This window comes from Homo sapiens, chromosome 11 (genome assembly GCF_000001405.40).
Source record: "Homo sapiens chromosome 11, GRCh38.p14 Primary Assembly".
Classification (NCBI taxonomy): domain Eukaryota; kingdom Metazoa; phylum Chordata; class Mammalia; order Primates; family Hominidae; genus Homo; species Homo sapiens.
The window spans coordinates 19,533,002-19,555,209 of NC_000011.10; the positions used below are offsets into that span (position 1 = coordinate 19,533,002).

The following is a 22,208-nucleotide window of genomic DNA, read 5'->3' on the forward strand; positions in this document are numbered from 1 at the left end:
CATAGTGGTACTGAATGGGATTCCTTTGGTCAGGTTGTTGTGAGAACGTTTCCTGAGCTAGAGGTGGAAGAAGGGGAAAAGTGGGTTGGAGTGAGTTTCAGTGATGGGAGAAAGCTTGTTGTCAGTCTAGGACTAATCAAGGAGCTGAGTAGAGTCAGATGCATCAACATTTCAACCAGGAATATAGTGTAGACCGGGGTTTCTTAACCTCAGCACAATTGACGTTTGGAGCTAGATATATCTTTGTGATGGAGGACTGTCCTGGGTATTGTGGGCTATTTAGCAGCATCCTCGGCCTCTACCTACTAGATGCCATTAGCGACAACTCCCCATCCCCAGCTGAGATGACCAAAAATATCTGCAGTCATTGTGAAATGTTCTTGGGGTCAAAATTATATCCACCCCCTTCTTCAAGGCTGACAAACATTGGTGTAAACAATTCTCTCTCCCTCCTACAAAGGCCATCAGCTGACCATGTCCACACATGTCCTGGGCATGTGTGTTCCTGGGCATTTTCCTCCCTCTGGCATCCTCCTGCAGGGCTGGGTGAAACCCCAATGAAACCAGGTTCTCCCTGTCTTTTCAGTCATTGTCCTCCTGGAAATATCACATACTGAAACCTTCTCTGAGACGTGCACTTTCTCTACCCCCACCCCCTCTGTTTCTGTCTGTCTGTCTCTCTCTCTCTCCCCTCTGGGAACTATCTTTTTTTTTTTTTTTTTTGAGACGGAGTCTCGCTCTGTCGCCCAGGCTGGAGTGCAGTGGCGGGATCTCGGCTCACTGCAAGCTCCGCCTCCCGGGTTCACGCCATTCTCCTGCCTCAGCCTCCCAAGTAGCTGGGACTACAGGCGCCCGCCACTACGCCCGGCTAATTTTTTGTATTTTTAGTAGAGACGGGGTTTCACCGTTTTAGCCGGGATGGTCTCGATCTCCTGACCTCGTGATCCGCCCGCCTCGGCCTCCCAAAGTGCTGGGATTACAGGCGTGAGCCACCGCGCCCGGCCTCTGGGAACTATCTTATCCACAGACACACTGAATTGTTTTATCTCAGGACATTTGCACTTGTCACCCCATGCCACCCTTGTGGCTCCTCTTCATTTGGGTCTCCATTTTTACAGCCCCATGTCATAGGCCACCTTGCTTATCATTCCAGTTACTCCTTACTGCATCTCTCTGCTTAGTGCCTGCAGAGTGTTGGCCAACCCCTGGTAGCATCGTGTTTATTTGCTTATTTGTTTATTGCTTGTCTCCCCCATTAGACTGTGGGATCTCAGAGGGCACGGACCTGATCTAGTGGGACCTGATCCAGTTTGTCCCCTGCTGTACCCACAGTGCAGACTTCAGTGCATGGTTGTAATCATGGGTCCAACAGCTTTGGTGAACACATGTTGAGCACCTACTCAACAGCACCAGGCTCTGTGCTAGGAGCTGAGTTGAATAGCACAGTCTCTGCTTCCTACGAGCTCAGTGTCTCATGGAAGGAGAGCAATAAAAGAGGTGAGAGAGAGAGAAGTGAAGGAGCACAGAGAAAGGAACAAGTGAACCTGTCTTGCAGATGAGGAAAGATCTTCAGTTTGAGGAAAGGAGGATCACACAGTATCTGCAGATGCAAGAAGATACAGGGGATCATGGATGGCTCCCAGGGAGCAGGGAAGGAGCAATGGCATGGAACTTGGAGCAGCAGGGCTCCCTGTGCAATGTTTGAAGCAGCAGAAAATGAGGGAGGTGGAGTAGAGGAGGAAAACTGAGAGACCTTGCATTCCATGCCAGGAAACAGACCCTAACCTATAGCAAACAGGACCCAAGAGGCAATGTAGACTAGTAGTTAAGATGTAAGCTTTGAAGTTAATTTCAGACCTTGGTTCAAATCTTCACTCTGCCACTTGTGCACTGCATGACTGGCCAGCAATTTCACATCTCTTAACTTCAGTTTTATCATTTTGGAAATGTGGTTAATATTTCCATTGTAGGGCTGTTTTGAGTGCAAAATAAGTCCTTAGCACAGTGCCTGGGACATAATAAGTGCTTAATAAATCATTGCTATTCCTGTTGATGTGGTTAACAAGGAGCCAGTAGAGATTTTCCAAGCAAATGAAGGACATGATAGATTTGCATTTTAGCAAGATTGTGCAGGCAGGGCTGTGGAGAGTGGCTTGGCAGTGGCTCTGAGGAGATCAGGTGAGACAGGAACCAGGGAAAACAGGAAGCTGCTGGAATGGAAAGAGAGGCAGAGAAGGGGGTTTGAATCCTGGGACTTGGAGCAGCTACTGTGGGAACCTTGGTAGCAGGAGATGCACTCATACTTTGCCCTCTGAGTAAGGCTGCAGGGGAGTAGAAGAGGAGTCCCCAGGCCCAACAAGTAATAGCCTAGAGGAGGCCCAGGTGGGGAACTACAGCTCAGCCTGACCTGGGTTCACTCACCAGCTCACAGCCTTTGCACCTGGGAAGATGCAGCCAGCTTTGCATTTCAGGCCATCCTCATGGTGAGAAGGGGTGGCTTGCCATTTGTACCGGGTGATATACTTTTAATTAAAATGGTAATTATTTGAGCATTCCTTAAAGGTTTACTTTGGGAATTTGCCGTCTTGAAAGCTCTGCCTTAATTAGTATTCTATTTATCCCTTATTAATAAATTATCTCTCAGCGGTTTCTTCCACCTCCTTTGATCACAGGGTCTCATCATTCCTGAGCTGAACTCCATTCCCTGTTGGCCTTATGGGTTCAGTGGGCCCAATCAAGCCTGATTCAGGGGTTTGAGAATTAAAGTTCTCAATTAACGCCCAACAGCGTGGGGATCCATCTTCTTGTGGTCCAAATGAGCCCCAGGAAAGCACACAATAAATGTGCCTCCCAGGGTTGAGTATGGGGACCTTCTGGGTGTAGATCTTTTGCTGAAGCTTCTAGAACAGAGCAGACTGGGCCAAGGCAGTGGCCACAGATACATTAGGACCCAGTATCATAACTAGGAAAACAGAAGCAGAAGAGCCAATGGGTCAGCTCATAGGCTTCAACCCAGGCTCAGAGGGGGTTAAGTTACTTGATTAGAGTCACAAAGCCAGGTAGTGGAAGATTAGAAAGCTACAATTTACTTGGCAATGTTACGTGCCAAGTCTTATGTTGAATGCTTTACGTACATGGTCCCTGTTAATCTTCCAAGCCATCTAATGAGGTGTAAGCAGTTTTGTCTCCAGTTTCCAGAAGAGAAAGCCAAGCCTTAGTGAAGTAAATCAACTTTCCTAGAGCTATCCAGCTAGTCAGAGGCCCAGCTGACATTTTGGTCAAGCTCTGTTGATTTCAAAGATCTCTCTCTGTCGACTGCACTATGCTGGCTGGATTAGGACTGAAGTGTCCCCACTTGAACACCACTGTACTTTTTTCTAAGCCCCGTATGGAAGGTGCATTAGATCCTTGCTACTGATTGTGGTCCAGGGACCAGCTGTACCAGCTCACTGAAGTACATGTTAAAAATGCAGAATCTCAGGCCCCACCCCACACCGTGAATCACAATCTGCACTTTGACAAGACTCCCCACCATGTGCCAATACCCATTAAAGTTTGGAAAACAAACTGGAGCTTTGATATTTGTTCAGCACTTACTACTAATGCTTACAAGCCTTCCAAGATCAATGTTATTCCTATTGAATTGATAAGGAGAAGTTAAGTGACTTGTCCCAGGTCATATACCCAACTGGTGGGCAGACTCCAAATGTGGTATCTCTCCTCCCTGACCTGGAGTTCTAGAAGCCGAAGTCTAAGATTATCCACTAGTTCCAGGTTTGTGTCCTTCACAACCTTCAGGAAATGATAATGGGGGCTGGGAGCCATTCTTACCATTCCCAAAAGCCCAGCTGGTATATTCTACTTGATCATAGTCAGACTAGAGGGACATGAACTTGGGCACAAACATCTTTTCCATTGACAAGAATTATAGTAGACCAGCATGGTAACTGGTTATTTACTGAAGAGCAGGAGTTCAGATTGGCAATTATATATGCTTTTGATTAATAAAAAATAGAGACATTAATTAGTTGCCTTTCAAAAATTCAACTTGTTTAAGAGACAATGTCCTTGTGAGGTCTATGGTGGGAAGGAAATTATAAAAAGGGTCCCTGGGGATCTAACAATTCTTCACTTGTGTTGAAAAAGAAATCGAGGAGAACTGCAAGAGAATGTTGATGTAGGCACTACTATATGTGATATTTTATTTAATTGTATAATAATAATAACTTTTCTAGAGCTATCCAGCTCTAGGTCAATAACAACAACTAATAACAATAATAATAATAACAACACCCACCATGAATAAACTGCCCAGTGTGCTAGGTAGTGTTCTAAGCCAACCTCACAACAACCTCACGAGGAAAGTCTAATATTATTATCTCCATTTTACAGCTGAGGAAACTGGGACTCAGAGAAATCAAGTAACTTTCCCAAAGCGTACTACAAAATAAATGATGAAGCCTGGATTCAAACCCAAGTCTACCAAGACCCCTTTCTTTTCTCAGTACCAAGCCCTTCCTGCTGCATGGATTTGATTTGCTGTGCAGTGGAAGCTGACAGTCAGTTTCAGTTTATTATTTCAGTGACAGGCTTTAGAATTGGCTCAGCAGCCACCAAGTGGACTGTGTTCTTTTGCTTCTGCTCTTAAGTGTATTCTAGATATGGTCGCCTTTACTATCCACTTCCAGACTGGCTTTCCTTAGTTCTAGACACAATCTCACAGGTATATCTGATCTAGTCTAAGTGCTTTTTAAATAAAATAGAACTGGATTCCAGTCCCTGCTCTGCTACTTTATTGTGACTTGGGCAAGTTATTTAATGTTTTTAAGTCTCAGTTTGTTTATCAGTAAAATGGAAATAATAATAGCACCTGCCTCATAGGATATCATGAGGATTAAGAGGTGAAATATTTGTGAAGGACTGGCCTAGGTGATGCATTTTGCAGGGAAAGCACCTGAGTCCCAAAGAAATGAGTAACTTACCAAGGTCACATGACTGTTATGAGAAGGAGAGTCCAGAACTCAGACCTGGGTTCCTTACTCACAGTTTCTTCTGCAGCACCTATGCTCTGCAGCATGTCTGATAAGAAAATGCCAGACAGAAAGCAGCTCAGTCCAATAGACTCTCTTGGTTTGTTTTTTCTGGTTCCTATATCTTCAAATGTCATTGATATTGGAAGGATCCTGGTGAGGTCCAATAACGCAGCCAAGCTGTGACACATCTCTAGAGTGGCCTGGCCCAGGTGGCTATTGTCATCATTGAGCTTGACCTTTGCCTCTTCCCTGAGCTGTGAATCTGTGGAAGCTCACTGTTCTATTCTAGCACACTCCTCTGTTTCCTTTTTCTTTTCTTTTTTTGAGACAGGGTCTTGCTCTTTCACCCATGCTGGAGTACAGTGGGGCAGTCATGACTCACTGCAGCCTGGACCTCGTAGGTTCACGCAATCCTTCTACCTCAGCCTCCCGTGTAGCTGGGACTACAGGTGCACACCACCACACCTGGCTAACTTTTGTTTTTGTTTTTTTTTTTTCTGCTAAGATGGGAGTCTCACTGTGTTTTCCTGGCTGATCTTGAATTCCTGGGCTCAAGCAATCCTCCCACCTCAGGCTCCCAAAGTGCTGAGATTACAGGCGTTAGCTGCCAGGCCCAGACTTATTTTTCAATTATAACTTTCTTTTTTTTTTATGCTTTAGTGTCATAGTCTATGTGTTTGTGTTTTATTTATGTATCTTTTTAAATTGAACTTTTTAAATCTTGAAATAATTGTGGATTCACATACTATTGTAAGAAATAATATGGAGAGATTTTGTGTACCCTTTACCCAGTTTGCTCCAATGGGTAACATCTTGCAAAACTTTAGTGCAATATCACAACCAGGATAATGACATTTTATATATATATATATATCTTTCCACTATAATTTAAAGGCCACAAATCATGGACTTTGTCTTGTTCAATACAATATTTCCAATACTTAGAACAGAGCCTGGCATATAATAGGTACTTGGTAAATGTTTGCTAACAGTATGGCTAAAAATGTAATGCAAGAGCCCTCTGTCATTTCTCATCCCTCTCCCCTTCCCCTGAACTGTAAATGGTTCTGTGATGCCCAGGCAGCCTTGCCTCTGCAACGTCACAGTTTTCTCTAATTCTACGTACTGAGCCTCATTACGATCAGTTAGATCAATGGTCTTCAAACTGGGGGTAGATGAAGATTTTCCAAGGGGTGTGCAGGCATGAATAGTTGAAGGGAATCTATTTCCAGATCTCAACTTGTTTGTCTACTCGTTTTCAAAATTGATCTATCCAAGAAGAAGATCTGTCCAAGAAGGTTTCACAGAGGCCCTTCTCCCACTTGATAAAAAGTAGATCCCTCCTCCATCCCAAACCTTGTGGTGTGCTTTATCCAATTAGGGTAGCTCAGGCTTGTGTTTTTTTCTAATCACATTGTGAAATACTTATTCTAATTATATTTAATATTAATCTTATTTCATTGTAAGAATGTATACAATTTTTCACTCCCTGTTAACACAAAGTAAACTTAGGTACATACATCATGGTAAGTTTTAGAGAGTCGTTTAACAATGTGCAAAAGAGTCCAAATGTTTTTCAACATTCTTTTTCTTAGGGGATGGGAGCAAAAAGATTGAAGGCCACTGAGACAACACAGCCATTTGGAAAGCCATTATCAGCTGCCATTTTGATTCAAGATCGAATGTCATGGACATTTTGAAGCCTTTTCATTGCATACTGAATTTGATGCAATCAGTCCTACTCTCTGAAAAGTTATCAAGAAGCAGGCAGGCTACAAATGCTCAGGGTTGAATAGTTCTCTTGAAAGAGGCCTCACTGTGTTCAGCTGATAATCAAACGAATGGCTGCATTGAGATAGGTCGTGGAGGGGGACCCACTGCTTCCCCATCTCTTATTCAAGCTTGGGCTCTGTTTCTGTCCCGATAGGAGCACATAATCCCATCAGTGCCAATGGGAGTTATGTGCCTGCTTTACTGGAGACAATAGGCTGACTGAGAGGGACAATTGTTCCCAGCAACTGAGGGGGTAAACACGATTGAATATTCCTAGCCACCATCCCTGAAGGGCCAGACTGAGCCCCAAAAGCCCTTTCTTTGTTAGCTTGCAGAGCCAGGGGGCCCCGCCTGCCTTCATCTCCTGCAGTGGCTGCCACCACCCACCTTCAGTGGCAACTTGTCCCTGAGCTGCTCCTAATGTCCCACCAAGACTGGTTGCCGTCAAGGTCTTCTAGCTCCTCTCCTCCTTGCTCCTCACTCTTTCTAAAGACAAGCCCAAGGGCCCTTCTCTATTTCATTCTTCACAACAAAATTATCACAACATCAGCAAGAATAATTGCATCCATTTATTCTCCACTTACTATTTCCTAGGCACTAAACATTTTATATACATTTGTGCATGTAACTACAAGTACTCATGGTGATTCTGCAAGGTAACTATAATCATTCCCATTCCCATTAAATGCAGCAAAATGCAGCCTAAAGTAAGTCACACACCTGGTAAGTTGCAGAACCCAGATTTAACCCTCCAACCCTCCCCATCCCCTGCAGGGGCTATTAGCTCCAAAGTCCATGCTCCAAGTTCTGCTATTTTCCCAAAGTGTGTTTCCTTCAAGACACTCTGAGACAAAGCTTGGAAAATGCTGTAGCTGCTCCCCCTGACCCAATCCCTTTCTTGGAGATTCCCAATGCACTTTAGTTTATTTTTTAAAAGCTCTGGCCAGGCGTGGTGGTTCATGACTGTAATTACAGCTCTTTGGGAGGCCAAGGTGGAAGGATCACAAGGTGGGAGGCAAGGTTGAAATGAGCTGTGATTGTGCCTCTGCACTCCAGCCAGGGTTGCAGAGCAAAACCCTGTTTCTTAAAAGAAAGACAAGAAAAGAAGAGAAGGGAAAAGGAGGGAAGGGAAGAGAAGACAAGACAAGAGAAGAGAATACAAGAGAAAAGAAAAGAAAACAATTCTGAGAAATCCTGCAGGAAAGAATCCTGTTAATGTTGCTTAACTTGGTACTTCTCAAGTATTTGTCTTTTTAAATGTTTGCATAAAACACATTAGACTTTGTTAAATGCTAAACTATATTATTATGAGGAGGAGAGATGCTACCTAGAGGAAGTTATACATGTAATTGGTTCTTGCATTCACTGCTACTGGAACCAGAAGTGGAGGCAGATGAGTTGACCATTGCTCTGGATTTGGGGTGGTGGCAAGGGAATCATAGCAACAGCACATGGCTCCATCTTCCGGCATCTACTATCCCACCCTTTCTACCAAAAATGTGACCTGCTTTCCCATGGCAGGGAGAAGACAAATTGTTCTAGAAGACAGGAAAGGAGAGACAGAATGGCTGTGTTGAAATGATTGTCCTGGGATGGAGCGAAATTTAGGAAGTGAGAGTTTTAATATAGATGAAGGCGTTGGGCCATGTGGCCCATCTTTGGGAACTGCCAGCCGATGGTTGGCAAATGACAACCCATGTGACTCTGGCTGTCTCTGGGGCCTTCTACAGGAGCAGGCTGAGGCCAGGACTCCTCCACTGTGCCTGTGGTCTCCTCCTCCCACACAGGGGATGTACTCACAGCTGAGGCCCCTTATCTTTTTGACCCACTTGAGAGAAGGGACAGGGCCTCGGGCATCAGGCAGAGCATAGGCCCAGGCTGATGTGGGACATGCCACATGCCAAAATGACATGTCATGGGGATTTGTGGGCCTCGCTGGAGCCATTTCCTCCAGGGGGTCATTTTATTTAGTTCCAATTGGACCCTGTGATTGGTCTCAGCCCTGGGCCACCTGGTGTCCTGGCTCCATATGGCAATGACTAGGAAGATGCCATTTTTCAATTGAAATATGCCTTGCCTTACTGTGGATCAGTCTGTAATTGCCTTTGGCTGGAAAGGGGCTTTGATTTTTAAAACTAAGCTAGAAAGTAATTTTTCCACTTTTGATTTGCTGCACTGATGAGTCAGTGTCTTCTCTACTAATTCACACTGAGAGTCACAGCACGGAAAAGACAGTTAGAGTCTTAGAGGTCGGCAAAGCCCACCATTGACCTCATATGGGAATCCCTTCCACCCACCCTTAACAGATGGTCTTTTAGCCTCTGGCCCAGCACAGCCACAGACGGGGAGCTCACTCTCTCACTGTGCAGACCTGACTGCTGTTGTCCAATTCTTGGCAAGTTTGATCCCATATGGAGCTAATAATGGGTACCCTTTAAGGAACACTCACCACCTGCCAGACACTATGCTAGGCATCTTCCATGCCTATCTTATTTAATCTTCATAATAACCCTCTAGGGTAGATACTATAATACGATTATCCCCATTTCTCAGAATGAGTGAAACAAGTCATAGAGGGTTTAAGGAATTTGTTCATGGCCCCAAGGCAGTAAATGATGGAGTCAGTGAATTGAGGAAGGATCACTCCAGAGCCCGAGCTCTTAAGCACTTTGCTCCGCTGCCCAGAGTAAGAATAGCTAACATTTGTGGAGTATTTACTAGGGGTCAGGTTCTATACTGAGGGGTTCCATATATACTGTCTCACTTCATTGTAACAAGTCATGAAGTAGATTTTATTATGCTCATTTTAGAGATGAGGACCCCAAATGTCCAGAGGTTTTAATTCATCGAAGGTCATAAGCAGAGCTGTTACTCTAATCCAGGTCATTTTGACCCTAAACACATACTCAATTAATATCTCTAAGTGCTGCCTATAAAATATTCTACAGGTGAGAAAACTGAGATTCAGGAAACATGGAAGTTTGTCAAAGGTCTTGAGCTAGAAGGCAAGAGCCAGGAGGTCCGCCTGACTCAGACTGTGAGCACCACCTTGCTCTCCCCTTCACCTGAAACCCTCCCCTTCCTGGGTACCTCTCCTGCCACCAGGACCACAGAGGAGAAGGCAGGTTCCCTGATCAGGGATGAAGCCCGTTTCCCTTTAATAAGGTTTCCATGTCACTGGTTGAGCATGGGTCCAATCACCTAAGTGTGAGAACTGCCTGATTAGAGAAAGTTTATTATCTTTTCCAAATTCTGAGATTCTAAGAGTTCCTTCACCCATCCTTGGTCATCTTTAAGATAGGGCCATAAAAAGCAATATAAATTTGAAGGTCAGAAAGCCCTGGGTTCAAATCCCTGCTCTGCCATTTCCGATATGGGTGACTTAAAGCAAATTGATTAACCTCGTAGAAGCTCAGTTTCCTTGTCTATAAAGTAGAGATAAAAATGACTGCCTGGTATGGTAGTCAGTCTTCCTCTTTTGGAAGTTTGGGCTTCCTGCTGAAAGTCCTTTCAAAATATATCTATGAAGTTCCAGGAACTAGGGCTTGAACTGCCGATGATGCATGCTGTCAACCAACGTAACAGTAATCATTGCTATCATCAGTGAAATGTCACTGGGCTTTTTGTGTTTGTTTGCGTGGTCCTGTATCTATTCTTTTTCTTTTATCGCACCAAATCTCACCTTATCTCACTGACACAGCCTCTCCTCCTCATCTTCCTCTTTTGGGAAAGGTTCAGAATGGCATAGGGATTAAAAAACGTTCAATTTGGAGTCAGATATTTTGCCATTTTTGACTGTGTAACTTTATCCAAGATAGCTACCCTCTATGAGCTTGCCTTCCTTTGTCTATAAAAAAGGAGTGAAAATACCTACCTCCCTTCATAGGATCATTCAGCGTTAAATGAGATACTCATAGCAGGTGTTCAAAAGTTACTTCTCTTTCTCTTCCTTGTCCTCTCTTGTCTCACTTGGCTAACTCTGAGGCTGACCTCTCAACTGCATCAAATACTATTTGTCACCTCCTCCTCTTCCTCTTATAGCTCCCCAAGTATTTCTAGAGTGGCCATGCTCTCGGTTTGAGCTGAGGATAATCCATCAATTATTACAATGAATGTGAGTGTACTCTGTAGCCTTGTGAAAAGTATTGTTCAAATGTAAACTACTTATTTTGCTCTTCCTGGCCAAAGCTTGTGAATATATACTTACTACAACATGATTTGCACTGTATTCATTCAAATAATATTATTGAGCATCTTATGGGTTTGTGGTTCTCAATACTGTGCCTGGCACATAGTAAGTGCTCAATACATCTTGGATTGCTAAAAAATTATTGAGTGTATGAATGAATATTTCTTTGAAATAGCAATTATGTTGGCAGAGTTGATTTCCATCAAAACCGAGTGATTGAAGGAGAATGAGAACGAGATGGACTTTGGTCCTAGACTCTCTTGACTCTAATCTCGAGTTCTTTTCACTATCAGTCTTTCCAATACCAGCAGAATGGGATCCGTGCTGTAAGACAGACACAGGTTTCAAGGGTGACAGTGTAGACTGAGGCCACCATAAAGATCAGGTTCAGATCTCACATCCCCAAGGCTTACTGGTCAGTACCCCAGTTAGTAGAGTTTGGCATCTAGAGATCTGAGTAGGCATCAAGGCCTGAGCTTCTGCCTCCTGGATTCTGCCTCCCTGGAGTCCATATTCCACACATGGGAAATTAAAGTCAGGCAGGGATTAGCTGGGCCACATTCCACCCTTGAACACCTGTCTATGTTGACAGCTTGGAGTGGGGTACAGAATTCATCCTCTGGAAGAAACAGGGTGTACTGTGCAGCCTCTTCCCAGTTCCTCACCCCCTGGCTGCTTACCTGGCCACCTTATCCTGCTAGACACAGTGCACAGAAAGCATGGAAAGTAAGAAGGGAATTAGGGACATAAAAGAACGAGCCCCAGCTTTGGAGCCAGCTAGGGCTGGAGGTGAGCCTGCCCCTGCCACTTCCTAGCTGTTAAGATTGCTGGCAAATCTTCCAAACTGTCTGTCAGCCTAATTTCCTTGAGAGAGAGTAAAGCAAAGGAATGAGAATCGTAGTACCTGCCTCACCAAAATGTTGCTAGGGTGTCTGTGTCTTGGCTCCACACATGTGGAACACCTAGCAGATGGTTGGGCCAAAGTAAATGTCCCACTCTCCACCTCTCTACCCTGCTTTCAGCCCCAGAGACAGCAAAGCAAATGTACATTGGAGTTGAGCAGTTGCCTTAATCAAAGACCCTTTCCCTCCCATGAAGTCGTTCTGGCCTTGCAGTTCTCATTCATTTCTTGTGTACCTGCTGCACACCACAGCCCTCCACGCCAGTGTGGGCATTTATTATTGGGCGCTCACAGGAGGGTCAAGCTGCTACCCAGACCTAACTGGCAACTGCTGTAAGCTTCATAAGGTGGGCAGATTTGTGTCTCCATACTGCCTCCAGGGGAGCTTGGTTTGGGCCGGGCAGCCAACTGAATTATTCATGACATGTGTGCTCTCTGTCTTTTTTCCTCCAAGCCTCTTTGGTTTAGAGACTGATATTTGTCTGCATGTGGCCTCTAAGGACGGCTCCCTTCCTGTGGGAAGACTGCCAGGTGGATGGTGAAAGGAAGAAGGTATGGGGCAGTGGTGTCCCTTTGAGGTGGAAAGCTTGCCTGGAAGCCTCATTCACTTAAAGGGCTGGCATGGCGCAAATGGGAGTCAGTTTCTCATCAGACAATGTAGCTTGGAGTGAGTAGACTGAATCAGGAAAGTGGTAGTGCATTTTATTTCCTAGAGGGTACTAAACACTTGGTGAAATAGTAAGAAAACTAAGCACTAGGGAAATCTCCTAAGACGAGCTTGTCCAACCCGCGGCCCAGGGTGGCTTTAAATGCAGCCCAACACAAATTCTTAAACTTTCTGAAAACACTTTGGGATTTTTTTTGCAGGTTTTTTTTTAGCTCATCAGCTATTGTTAGTGTTAGTGTATTTTATGTGTGGCCCAAGACAATGCTTCTTCTTCCAATGTGGCCCAGGGAAGCCAAAAGATTGGACAACCCTGACCTAAGAATCTTCAGCCTTTTAAGCAGAACTTTTTGGTATTTGTATTGTATTGTAGTTTGTATTATATGCAGTTATAATTGCAGAGTCTATAATCTAATCTAAATGAAAGCAGAACTGTTCCAAGTAGGTTGGGGTAGGGGGTCTCTTCCTCCACTGATGAAATTTCCCTCAGATGCTTCCAGGGAACCCTAGAATTTCATGGAGCTCAATTTTAAAACCAAGCAGAGTCATTCTCCAGGAAACCACACCAAACTGTGCTCAAACAGGCATAGGAGACAAGTATGTAGATATTTTCTTGAAAAGACATCTCCTCCCCATGAGGGCTTGATGTGGGGTCTCGAGCAAGGCCTGATGGATTTCTGAAGAGCAGATGGCAGAGGAGACTTGAACCCCAGCTCAGAGATTCCCTCTCTCAACCCTGGCTGCCTTGTAACTGAGATCTTGCTGAGGGCGAGACAGACTGGTGGGGGTTCAGTGGTGGCTGTGACCAATGGAGGCCCCATGCTGGGGCCCTGGGTGTGGGGCCCAGATGGCAGAGGCTGAGCTGCTGCGGGAAGGTAGGAAACAGCCTGGCAGCTGGGCAGTGCGGCCACCTCCACTGCCCCTTTGCAGAATCCTCAGCTTTCCAAAGCCACCTGCAGGGTGGGGCGGCTTCATGAAGAATGGAGGGCTGTGTACAGAAGGAAGGACTGGTCACCACGGCAACCACCCTCTGATGTCCAAACTCCACTGTGAATCACCCTAGGCTTTTTGGGGGTGTTTTCTATTATTTAAACTGCCTTGGGGAATGTAAGAAGAGATTTTATTTCCCAGGTTTTGAGTACACTATCTCTTAACTTTCCCTAAAAGTAAATGTAACCGTTTTAGTGTTTTTACTTTCCACTTTTCTCCTTTTTCTCCATCTCTCTCCTCTTGAGATGTGAAGCTTCATTCCTAATACACAGCACTTTCTAACCCCAGCTGCAAACATTTTCTCACATACAAAATAAGGAAGCTCTAGGATTCTTCCAGCAAGACAACTTCTGTCTCATTTTTTACATCAGGGTCTGGGAGATGATCAGTTGGAGTTTAGGTCACTATTGATACCTGGATTCTGGAAGCTCAGATGTAGCCTCTTTACTGCTCTTCAGAATGGCAGGCATAGAATCAGAGTGGGTGCACCGGAACTGTGTCCTGCTGCCTTTGAATATTGACATGGGGGTGGTCCCTGCCTACCCACATCCAACAGCAGCCTCTCCTGCCCTGCACATGGCAACACTGCTGCCCCAGACATTGATGGCCCCACTGGAACTCTGGAGGCCAGCTCTCCAGGCGATGGAAAGCAGTTGTTCGTTGAAGTAGCCAGGGCTGCTGTGAAGCAATCTGCAGAGCCCAGCGGAGGGCCAGGAGCACACCCAGCAGATGACAGCTTTAAAGATGCTGGAAACACTTGGGTTCCTCTTACCCACCCCCAAATGTAATGCCAAATCAAAGCAGGATTTAACTATGAAACACAAAACTGCTGACACCAAAATAGCTTTCTTCTGGTTTTTCTAATTGCAAACTCTGGATCACCTCATTGAAGCTGATTTTTTCCCTTTCTTCCCTTTCCCACCACTGCTCTTTTCCATCCCCCCTTGGCTGCAGGAGCCTGAAGTACATCCTCACGCTGCACACTGTGTAATCAGGCAGAGAGGGAGCTGCTGGCTTCCAACTGCAGGTTTGATCTTCTCTACCTCTTGTTTTGGTCTCTCTAGTTTTTCTTTCATTTTCTTTTTTCTTGGGACCCCTTACTAATGGAAGGGAGTGGGGGCTGAGAGCCCGGGGGACAAGTAGGACCCCCTCTCTTCCATTCTCCTGAGCTCTAAGACTTGTACTTTCAGGGAAGTCATAATAATGACAATGATAGTGGTAGAATAGTGGTAATAATAATAATAAAGGATCTGAGAACTCACTTTTACTATAAGAAATGGGCTGGATTTTTAAGATGTTTCTGGGTTCCAATTCCATACTAATTAAAACAAAGCAATTGCAGTCTGGATAGTAAATGTTTCAATGTCTGGAACTTGGCGGACCCACAGAAATGTTTGAAGGATGGGTAAAGGTGATTTACAGATGGGGAATCCCAGCCTGCAAGAGGTTAAATAACCAGCCACACATCACCTAGCTGGTGAGTAACAGGGTTGAATTCAGACTCAGGGGGCCTGACTCTGCAGCTGCCATCTTTCCTCCTTAAATATCTTAGTTCGTAGGATAGGTTTAGCAATGATGTCTCCTGCATGACAATTTCATGGCTGTCGGTAATGGGTATCTCCAAAGAGCAGTTCACAGACAAACATAAAAGAAAGAAACTTAAAGAAAGGGCATAACAATGAAAGCAAAACCCTGAAACAGCAAAGATGTGAGTAGTCAAAGGAAAATCAGACGAAGAGAGAATTCGGTTATTACCCTTCACTTGGCAAACATTTCCACAGCCCTTACAGTGTGTCAGGCCTTATTCTAAGAGACCTGTGCCTATATACCCTAGGAGGGCGAGCCTGTGCTTACCTCCATTTCGCAGATGCAGTAGCTGAGGCAGAAAGATGTCAAGTCATTTGCCCAAGGTCTCACTGATGGTTACTGGAAAGGGGGGAGTTTATGAACCATGTGATCCAGCCCACAACCAAAGCGTGTGCCCTTGACCAATGTCCTGCCATCCACGAGTAATAGTAAATTTAAAAACACTCTTGGCCAGCAGCGGTGGCTCACACCTGTAATCCCAGCACTTTGGGAGGCCGAGGTGGGCGGATCATGAGGTCAGGAGATCGAGACCATCCTGGCTAACATGGTGAAACCCCGTCTCTACTAAAGATACAAAAAAAAAAAAAAAATTAGCCAGGCTTGGTGGCAGGTGCCTGTAGTCCCAGCTACTCGGGAGGTTGAGGCAGGAGAATGGCGTGAACCCGGAAGGCGGAGCTTGCAGTGAGCCAAGATCATGCCACAGCACTCCAGCCTGGGTGACACATCAGGCTCCGTCTCAAAAAAAAAAAAAAAAAAAACACCCTCAAGGTGAGTGTTTAAACTTGTAAACTTTTCAAAGCTATTAAGTAGAGGTGATGGATTCTCTTCATTCCCTTCTTTTTGTCTGACCTGGGGTTACAGATAAGAAAGGTAAGAGTGAATGTCTTCCAGATTATTGCTTCTCAGAGGGAGAGGGGCTTGAAGATCATCTAGACCCTAAACAGGTGAATGTCTCAGCTTTGGGGACTGTAACATGATGTTAAGAAGGACATTTCTTATTGTCTTGGAATGTGGCTGAGGTTCCAAAGCTGAAGCCAAGTGTCCACACATTCTAAAAATAGGGGCTAGGCCATTCTCATCAGACTGGCTAAGAGGTGACCAAGAGCAGCCCTGGGGCTCCTACCTCTAGAGTGAAGAAAGGAAACCTGGGATGGTTAAAAAAGGTGATCCTCCTGGAGCCACTCGGGAGGCTGCCTTCACGAAGAGAGGTTGGCGTCCTATTCCCAACTGGTGGCTTAATTGTCCCTGTGGGAACTCAGAGTGCCCCTCCCCCACCTTGTGCTTTCTCTTGGGGGATGGAAGGACAAGTATCCTCAGGAGCTTGAGGGTTCACCCGATGCAGAGAGACACTGGCCGGAAGGAGATAGTAGATGCCCCTGACTACAGAGGAAGGAGGGCAGGTACCGTGAGAGAGCACAACCCCCCTCCTACCAATCGTATGGCAAATGGACAGCTAATGGGAGCCAGGCTAAGCCATCTCAAAAGGACCCCAGCTCAGAAGGCTGCCTGCCTGCCAGGGTGAGGGGGCTCCTGCAGCAGAATTCCACGGGAGTGGTGTGCTGCAGGGCAGCTCACAGGAGGTGTCTGAGAGGTCTCAATCGTGATACAGCGTAGAGGCCCCAGTGGACATCACCCAAGAAACCAAGCTGCACCATGAGCATTAGGTCATCTGCCCCACCAAGGGCACCATAGACCAGATGACAAGAACGTTAGTCTGGTAAGAATCTGCTTTTTCCTGATAGCCACTTCCCATGCCCTGCCCTCGGCTCTGGAGGGGCCCATTAACAGGAGAGCAAAAGAAGGGGAGATGGAGCAGGGAAAGCAAAATAGGGGGGCCAGCCTCCCCCGGCTTCTGCTGGCCTAGAGTCCTGCAGTTTGCGCCTCAGCCAGGGAGGGAGGACATATGTGGAGGTGGATGGGAAATTCAAGTTTTGATTTAGATTGCCCTGGACTTTTTATTGCCTGAAAATGAGATTGTTCTAATACCCGGAGGCAGCCAGAAAAACTCTGGGACCTGTTTGAGATATTGTCTAGAAACGAAAAAGGGAAATTTGACAAAACAATATCTAAAGGAGGAGAATAAAGCTATTTCTGAAGCTCATTTAATAAAATGGCCATATGAAGAAAATCAGCTGAGAAACTCCACATTTCCTTCCAGAGCTCCCCAATGCCCCATCTTCTAAGGAATAAGAAGTTAAAGGGAATGCACGTTTATTAAGCACATACTGTGTACAGGACTCTGTTAGAACCCGAATACTTGAAACTTCACGAAATCTCCCCAATAATTCCATAAGTCTGGGATTGACAATTTCCATTTCGTAGATGAGGCAACTGAGGCCCACAGAGGTCAAGGGGCTTGCTTAAAGGCAGATCGATACAGGGTGGATTCTGGAGCAGAGATTGGAGCTCAATAGTCTGCAAGCAGCATTGCAAGCAGCATTGTACAAGGAAAGGGACTGTGTACGTGCACTCACTGCCACCTCTTCAGATGCTCAATGAATGTTTGCTAATAGATGCCCACAATGCTGTGGCTTCCTACGTGGGCCCTGTGATATTGCCCACTCCCCTTGAGGTAGGAGGCAGGACTCAACTCCTGAGATGGGGCTCGGACACTGGACCAAATTGAGGACTAGCTAAAACAGAGATGGGGTGGAAGCAGCTTTCCATAAAACACGCCCACCAGTGTGCCATGTCAGTTTACCATTGCTATGGCAACACTCAAGAGTTACTGCCCCTTTCCATGGCAATGTCCCAACAACCCAAAAGTTACCACCCCTTCCCTAGAAATTTCTGCATAAACCACCCCGTAATCTACATATAATGAGAAGTAGGTATAAAGATGACTGCAAAACTGCTCTGATGGGCTACTCTCAGCACACTGCCTATGCAGTAGCCCTGCTCTGCAGGAGCTGGCGCTGACTGCTGGAGCTGTGGCACTGCCACTTCAAATGAGCTGTCTTCTTCTACCCCAGCACTGGCTCGCCCTTGCATGCTGTCCTGGGGGAAGCCAAGAACCCTTGCAAGCTAAGCCCCACTTTGGGGTTTGCCTGCCCTGCAGCACCATCACTTTCTTTACTACAATTTATGCAAGAACATGTGCAGGTTGGCAGGCTCACTTGTCATTGAGATCAAGTTCCATGTCTACGCAAACAAGACCATAAGTACAGAGGGGTCAGGACCACGTATTTTCTTCTTAAAGTCCCCCCAGTCATCTCTGTGAGGAGGGGATCTGCAGATCAGGCTGAGCCTCAGAGAGGTCAAGGGACATCCCCTGGGTTCCACGGCAAGTCCTCATTGCTGAGTTGTGGACCCAGACGGCTGCTCCCCAGCCTGAGCCTGCCAGTGTGCCTGTCCCTGATCCACTTGCACCCCTCCCTCCTGGCCTCACAGCCCACCAGGTGTGTGCCCTGTCAGCTCCCTCCCTGTTATGTTGCAGAACATTGGAACTGGCAAAGCTGATGGAGGTTATACACCGCGTGGTTCAGAATAGTAGCTTAAGCAGATGTCTTGTCAAAACAGAATAAGAAACTGTGAAGAAATAGTCTGTGAAACCCAGCCACGTCCTGCTTCCTCTCATTTCTACAGTAAAATAGTGGTGGGGGAAAAAATGGTTAGTTCTTTCAGAATAGTGCATTTCACGTGTGGAGCATACCAACTTCCAGAATGGTTATCCTGGATGGGATTTATTTGCCTTCCTTTTCCTAGCCTTTCTTTCCTCTTTACTCTGCTCCTTCCCCTCCTTCTCCTCTCCTCTCCTCTTCTCTCTCTCTCTCTCTCTCTCTCTTTCTCCACATCTCCTCTCCTTTCAAGAGGACATTAGCTCCCTGACTGCAACCCTGGGGTCTTGGGGCTTCTGAGGCCTGCAGGCTCCCTTCCCTTTGTCTGAGGAGGACGGGGGAGGCAGTGAATTATTGATGAGGCCTGTGCTCTATGGATGCCCAGGGCTGAGACTGGGGTGGCCTGGGCCCCTGGAGAAGGCAGCAAGACTGGTCAGTTTGGGAGACAGGACAGAGCCTCTTGGGGTGTAGGTGGCAGGGAGGGGCGGGGGAAAGGGCTCATTGCCTTTTGGCTTTCATTTGCCTCTTTGCGGTGCCTGGGGCTGGGAAGAGCAAGAGCTGGAGTCACTGGGAATCCGTGGACAGATGGAGACACCAGAGGGGAGGCGTGTGAGGCGTCTGCAGGGAATTCACAGTTTACAGTCATTGAGTGTTCAGCCTCCCCACTCTGCCTCTCTACACTTCTCTGAATCAATTCCCAGAAACCCAGGGGTTGTTCCATCGGGGCTCAGGGGCATGGAGCCCAGGGCCTGTCCTGCTGGGCCCTGTGGCCACGGGCACAGGAGCCACCCTCTCCCCTCCTCCTCACTTTTCTCCCATCCCACCCAGACCGAGCAGAAGCTCCCCAGCCTGAATCCCATTTGGGTCAAAGAACACAAGAAAAACTCCATTTGTCACAAGGCCATGGAACAACATTAAGCGGAACCACTCTGTGACATGAAGGACGGTAGGACCATAAATTATTCAGCCTCACAGACATTATAGGCATTTTGGAGAGAAAGTGAAAAAAAGATTATTTCAGCGCTGTAGTGTAAAAGAGCTGAACAGCATTCATTGGCCAGCGTGCTGTGAGGATTTTCTGCCTTAAAGTAGCTCTCTCCGAGGGGCTGTTTCCTGGGCAGCAGTTCCACCCACCAAGGAATTTGCTTACTTCTTTAGCGTTAACATTGCATTGTGAGAGAGTGTGTGTGAGTGTGTGTGGGGGGGAAGGGGGGGAGCTGGATGGGAGTGCTGAGACCATCCTTCTCAAGGCAGGGAAAGGAACGCGTAAGCTGAAATTCTTTTTCTTGTCCTCTGCAATTGCGGAGTGAAAAGGAAGGCAGGTTTTGCAGCCTTGCCTCCAGTCTCAGCATGGCTGTGTAACATGCTCTCCATGGATACATTTGTGCAGGAAAATGTCCCTTGGTGAGGAGAGGCATTCCTGTTCCCTTGCAAGAGCCGGGCTCAGAAGGACTCTTGGGAGGGCAGCATTCTTTCAATGCATAGCCCCATCTCCAGCCCAGATGGACCTTCAAGCCAGAACCTTTGTCTAGAAAGCCCCAAAATTCCTGGAAATCTAGAGACAGAGATACAGGAGGTCAACAGCCCCACCCCTAATCTTGGGCTTCTCACTTGTTAATTTCATCGTCTTGAGCAGGGCTCTCTGAAGTCAGGGGAAATGTGCGGATTCTGTTCCTGGGGTTCTTCCCAGCTCATTTTGGAAGGAGTAAGAGAGATATGGGGGCCTACCCCTGCTTTAGTTCATCCTCCCTCTTGGGGATACCCACCCAGGCCTCAGAGCCTTCATCTGAGCACCAATATACAGTAATGCAGACCACACACACACACCTCTCTCCCCTCCCCATCACCCCAGGATGAGCCAGGGAAGGCACTGACCAGCTGATTTTCAATGCCTAGGAAATGGGAGCTTGGGCTGCGGGTGGCCTCAGGCTGGTTTGCATCTTCACCTCTGGGAAGGATTGTTTGTAACAAACTGATGTATTTAACAGAAGAGCACATGCAAATATGCCTTGGCATTGCCGAGATTGAATCCAGCCTTTGCTGCTGCAGAGCAGGTCTGGCCATTCCCTTTCTGGGGAGACACACCACAGCTGCCAGGGCTCCAGGGACCCAGACTGAGGAGAGGTACAGAGGCAGCACCAGCCTCTCTGTGCCAGCCGGGTAGTCATCAGATGGTGGAGGCCCAGAATGGGTGGCAAACCCCTCGTGGGCTTTTAGCAGAATTGTGCTGCCCTCTGCTGGCGAGTTTGGGTGGACTCAAAGGGCTTCACGCCCAGTAGAAAAAGAGGCTGCTTTCTGTTCCCCTAGCAATCAGAGAAGGGGACAGAGCATTTCATACTGAAAAGTTGTGGGAGCTCTCTCTCCTTTTTTGTTTTTGAAATTCTGCGCTCTAAGCCAGGAGGCAACACAAAATAAAGGTGGCCAGAGGGAACTAATGCTGGGTTAGAGTCTTCTAAGGGCCTGAAATCGTGCTATGACATCTACGTGCAGGCATTTACTTTATTCAGAAAGCAACTCTGATAATTAGAATTTAGAATTTTAATTTGAGAAATGAGGAGAGTGTGGCTCAGAGAGGTAAATCAACTGTGCTAAGGCCACACAGCTAGCCAATAGCAGAGCCAGGATTGAGTTTGGGCTGTCTGATGCCAATGCCCACACTAGGCCAACCTTACAGTTTGTGATTTGTCTCTGGATGTTAGAGAGCAGGAAGTGTCTAACCCTCTGGGGGAGACACCAGGCTCCATTGCCCAGCTCCTCCCCACTCATGGGGTAGGCTTTTGTTAGAAAATGCGTTGCCCTGAACCCAAAGCTAGTAGAGGCGCCTCAAGGAATGGAAACACTGCTGGTCTGGCTTTGTGTTCTAGCTCTGCTGTTTGTGGGCTTTGTGACTTTCAGGCCACTTGTCCTCCAGGGTTCTGTTTCTCGTCTATAAAATGAGGGAGTAGGTAAGGATGAATTAGATGGTTGTTTATGGTGGTGGTGTTTTTGCCAGCAAGGACATTTCTTAAAAATGGTTTTCTATCCACTTTGGGAGGCCGAGGCGGGCAGATCACCTGAGGTCGGGAGTTCGAGACCAGCCTGACCAACATGGAGAAACCCCGTCTCTACTAAAAATACAAAATTAGCCAGGCGTGGTGGCTACTCGGGAGGCTGAGGCAGGAGAATCACTTGAACCCGGGAGGAGGAGGTTGCAGTGAGCTGAGATCGCGTCATTGCACTTCAGCCTGGGCAACAAGAGCGAAACTCCGAAAAAAAAAATTAAAGATAAATAAATTTTTTAAAAATGGGGTTTCTATCTCATACATACCATGTTTTGCAAAAAAAAAAAAAAAATCTTATCTACCCATGTATGTATGTTGTAATAATTTATTCCTTTTCAGTTTTGAGTAAACAAGATATGTGACTATCTTAGATTGGGTTCCCCGATAAACAGATTCTGAGACAGGGATCAATGTACAGGAAATTGGGGCATGTCCTGGTAATGCCATCAATGAGGTGGGGAAGCAGAAGCTGG

The 22,208-nt window shown here is 46.5% G+C and overlaps 1 protein-coding gene across 11 annotated transcripts in view, besides 2 other annotated features; it reads left to right on the forward strand.

Moving 5' to 3' along the window:
* NAV2 (neuron navigator 2) overlaps nucleotides 1-22,208 on the forward strand; it is a 776,366-nt gene that overhangs the window by 187,766 nt on the left and 566,392 nt on the right. The window lies entirely within an intron of this gene.
* Nucleotides 18,553-18,752: an enhancer, noted in NCBI's record as "active region_4521". NCBI's record gives its function as "activates an Ori minimal core promoter by ATAC-STARR-seq in GM12878 lymphoblastoid cells {active_cell/tissue: GM12878}" and the evidence as "EXISTENCE:reporter gene assay evidence [ECO:0000049][PMID:35858748]".
* Nucleotides 20,769-20,818: an enhancer, noted in NCBI's record as "active region_4522". NCBI's record gives its function as "activates an Ori minimal core promoter by ATAC-STARR-seq in GM12878 lymphoblastoid cells {active_cell/tissue: GM12878}" and the evidence as "EXISTENCE:reporter gene assay evidence [ECO:0000049][PMID:35858748]".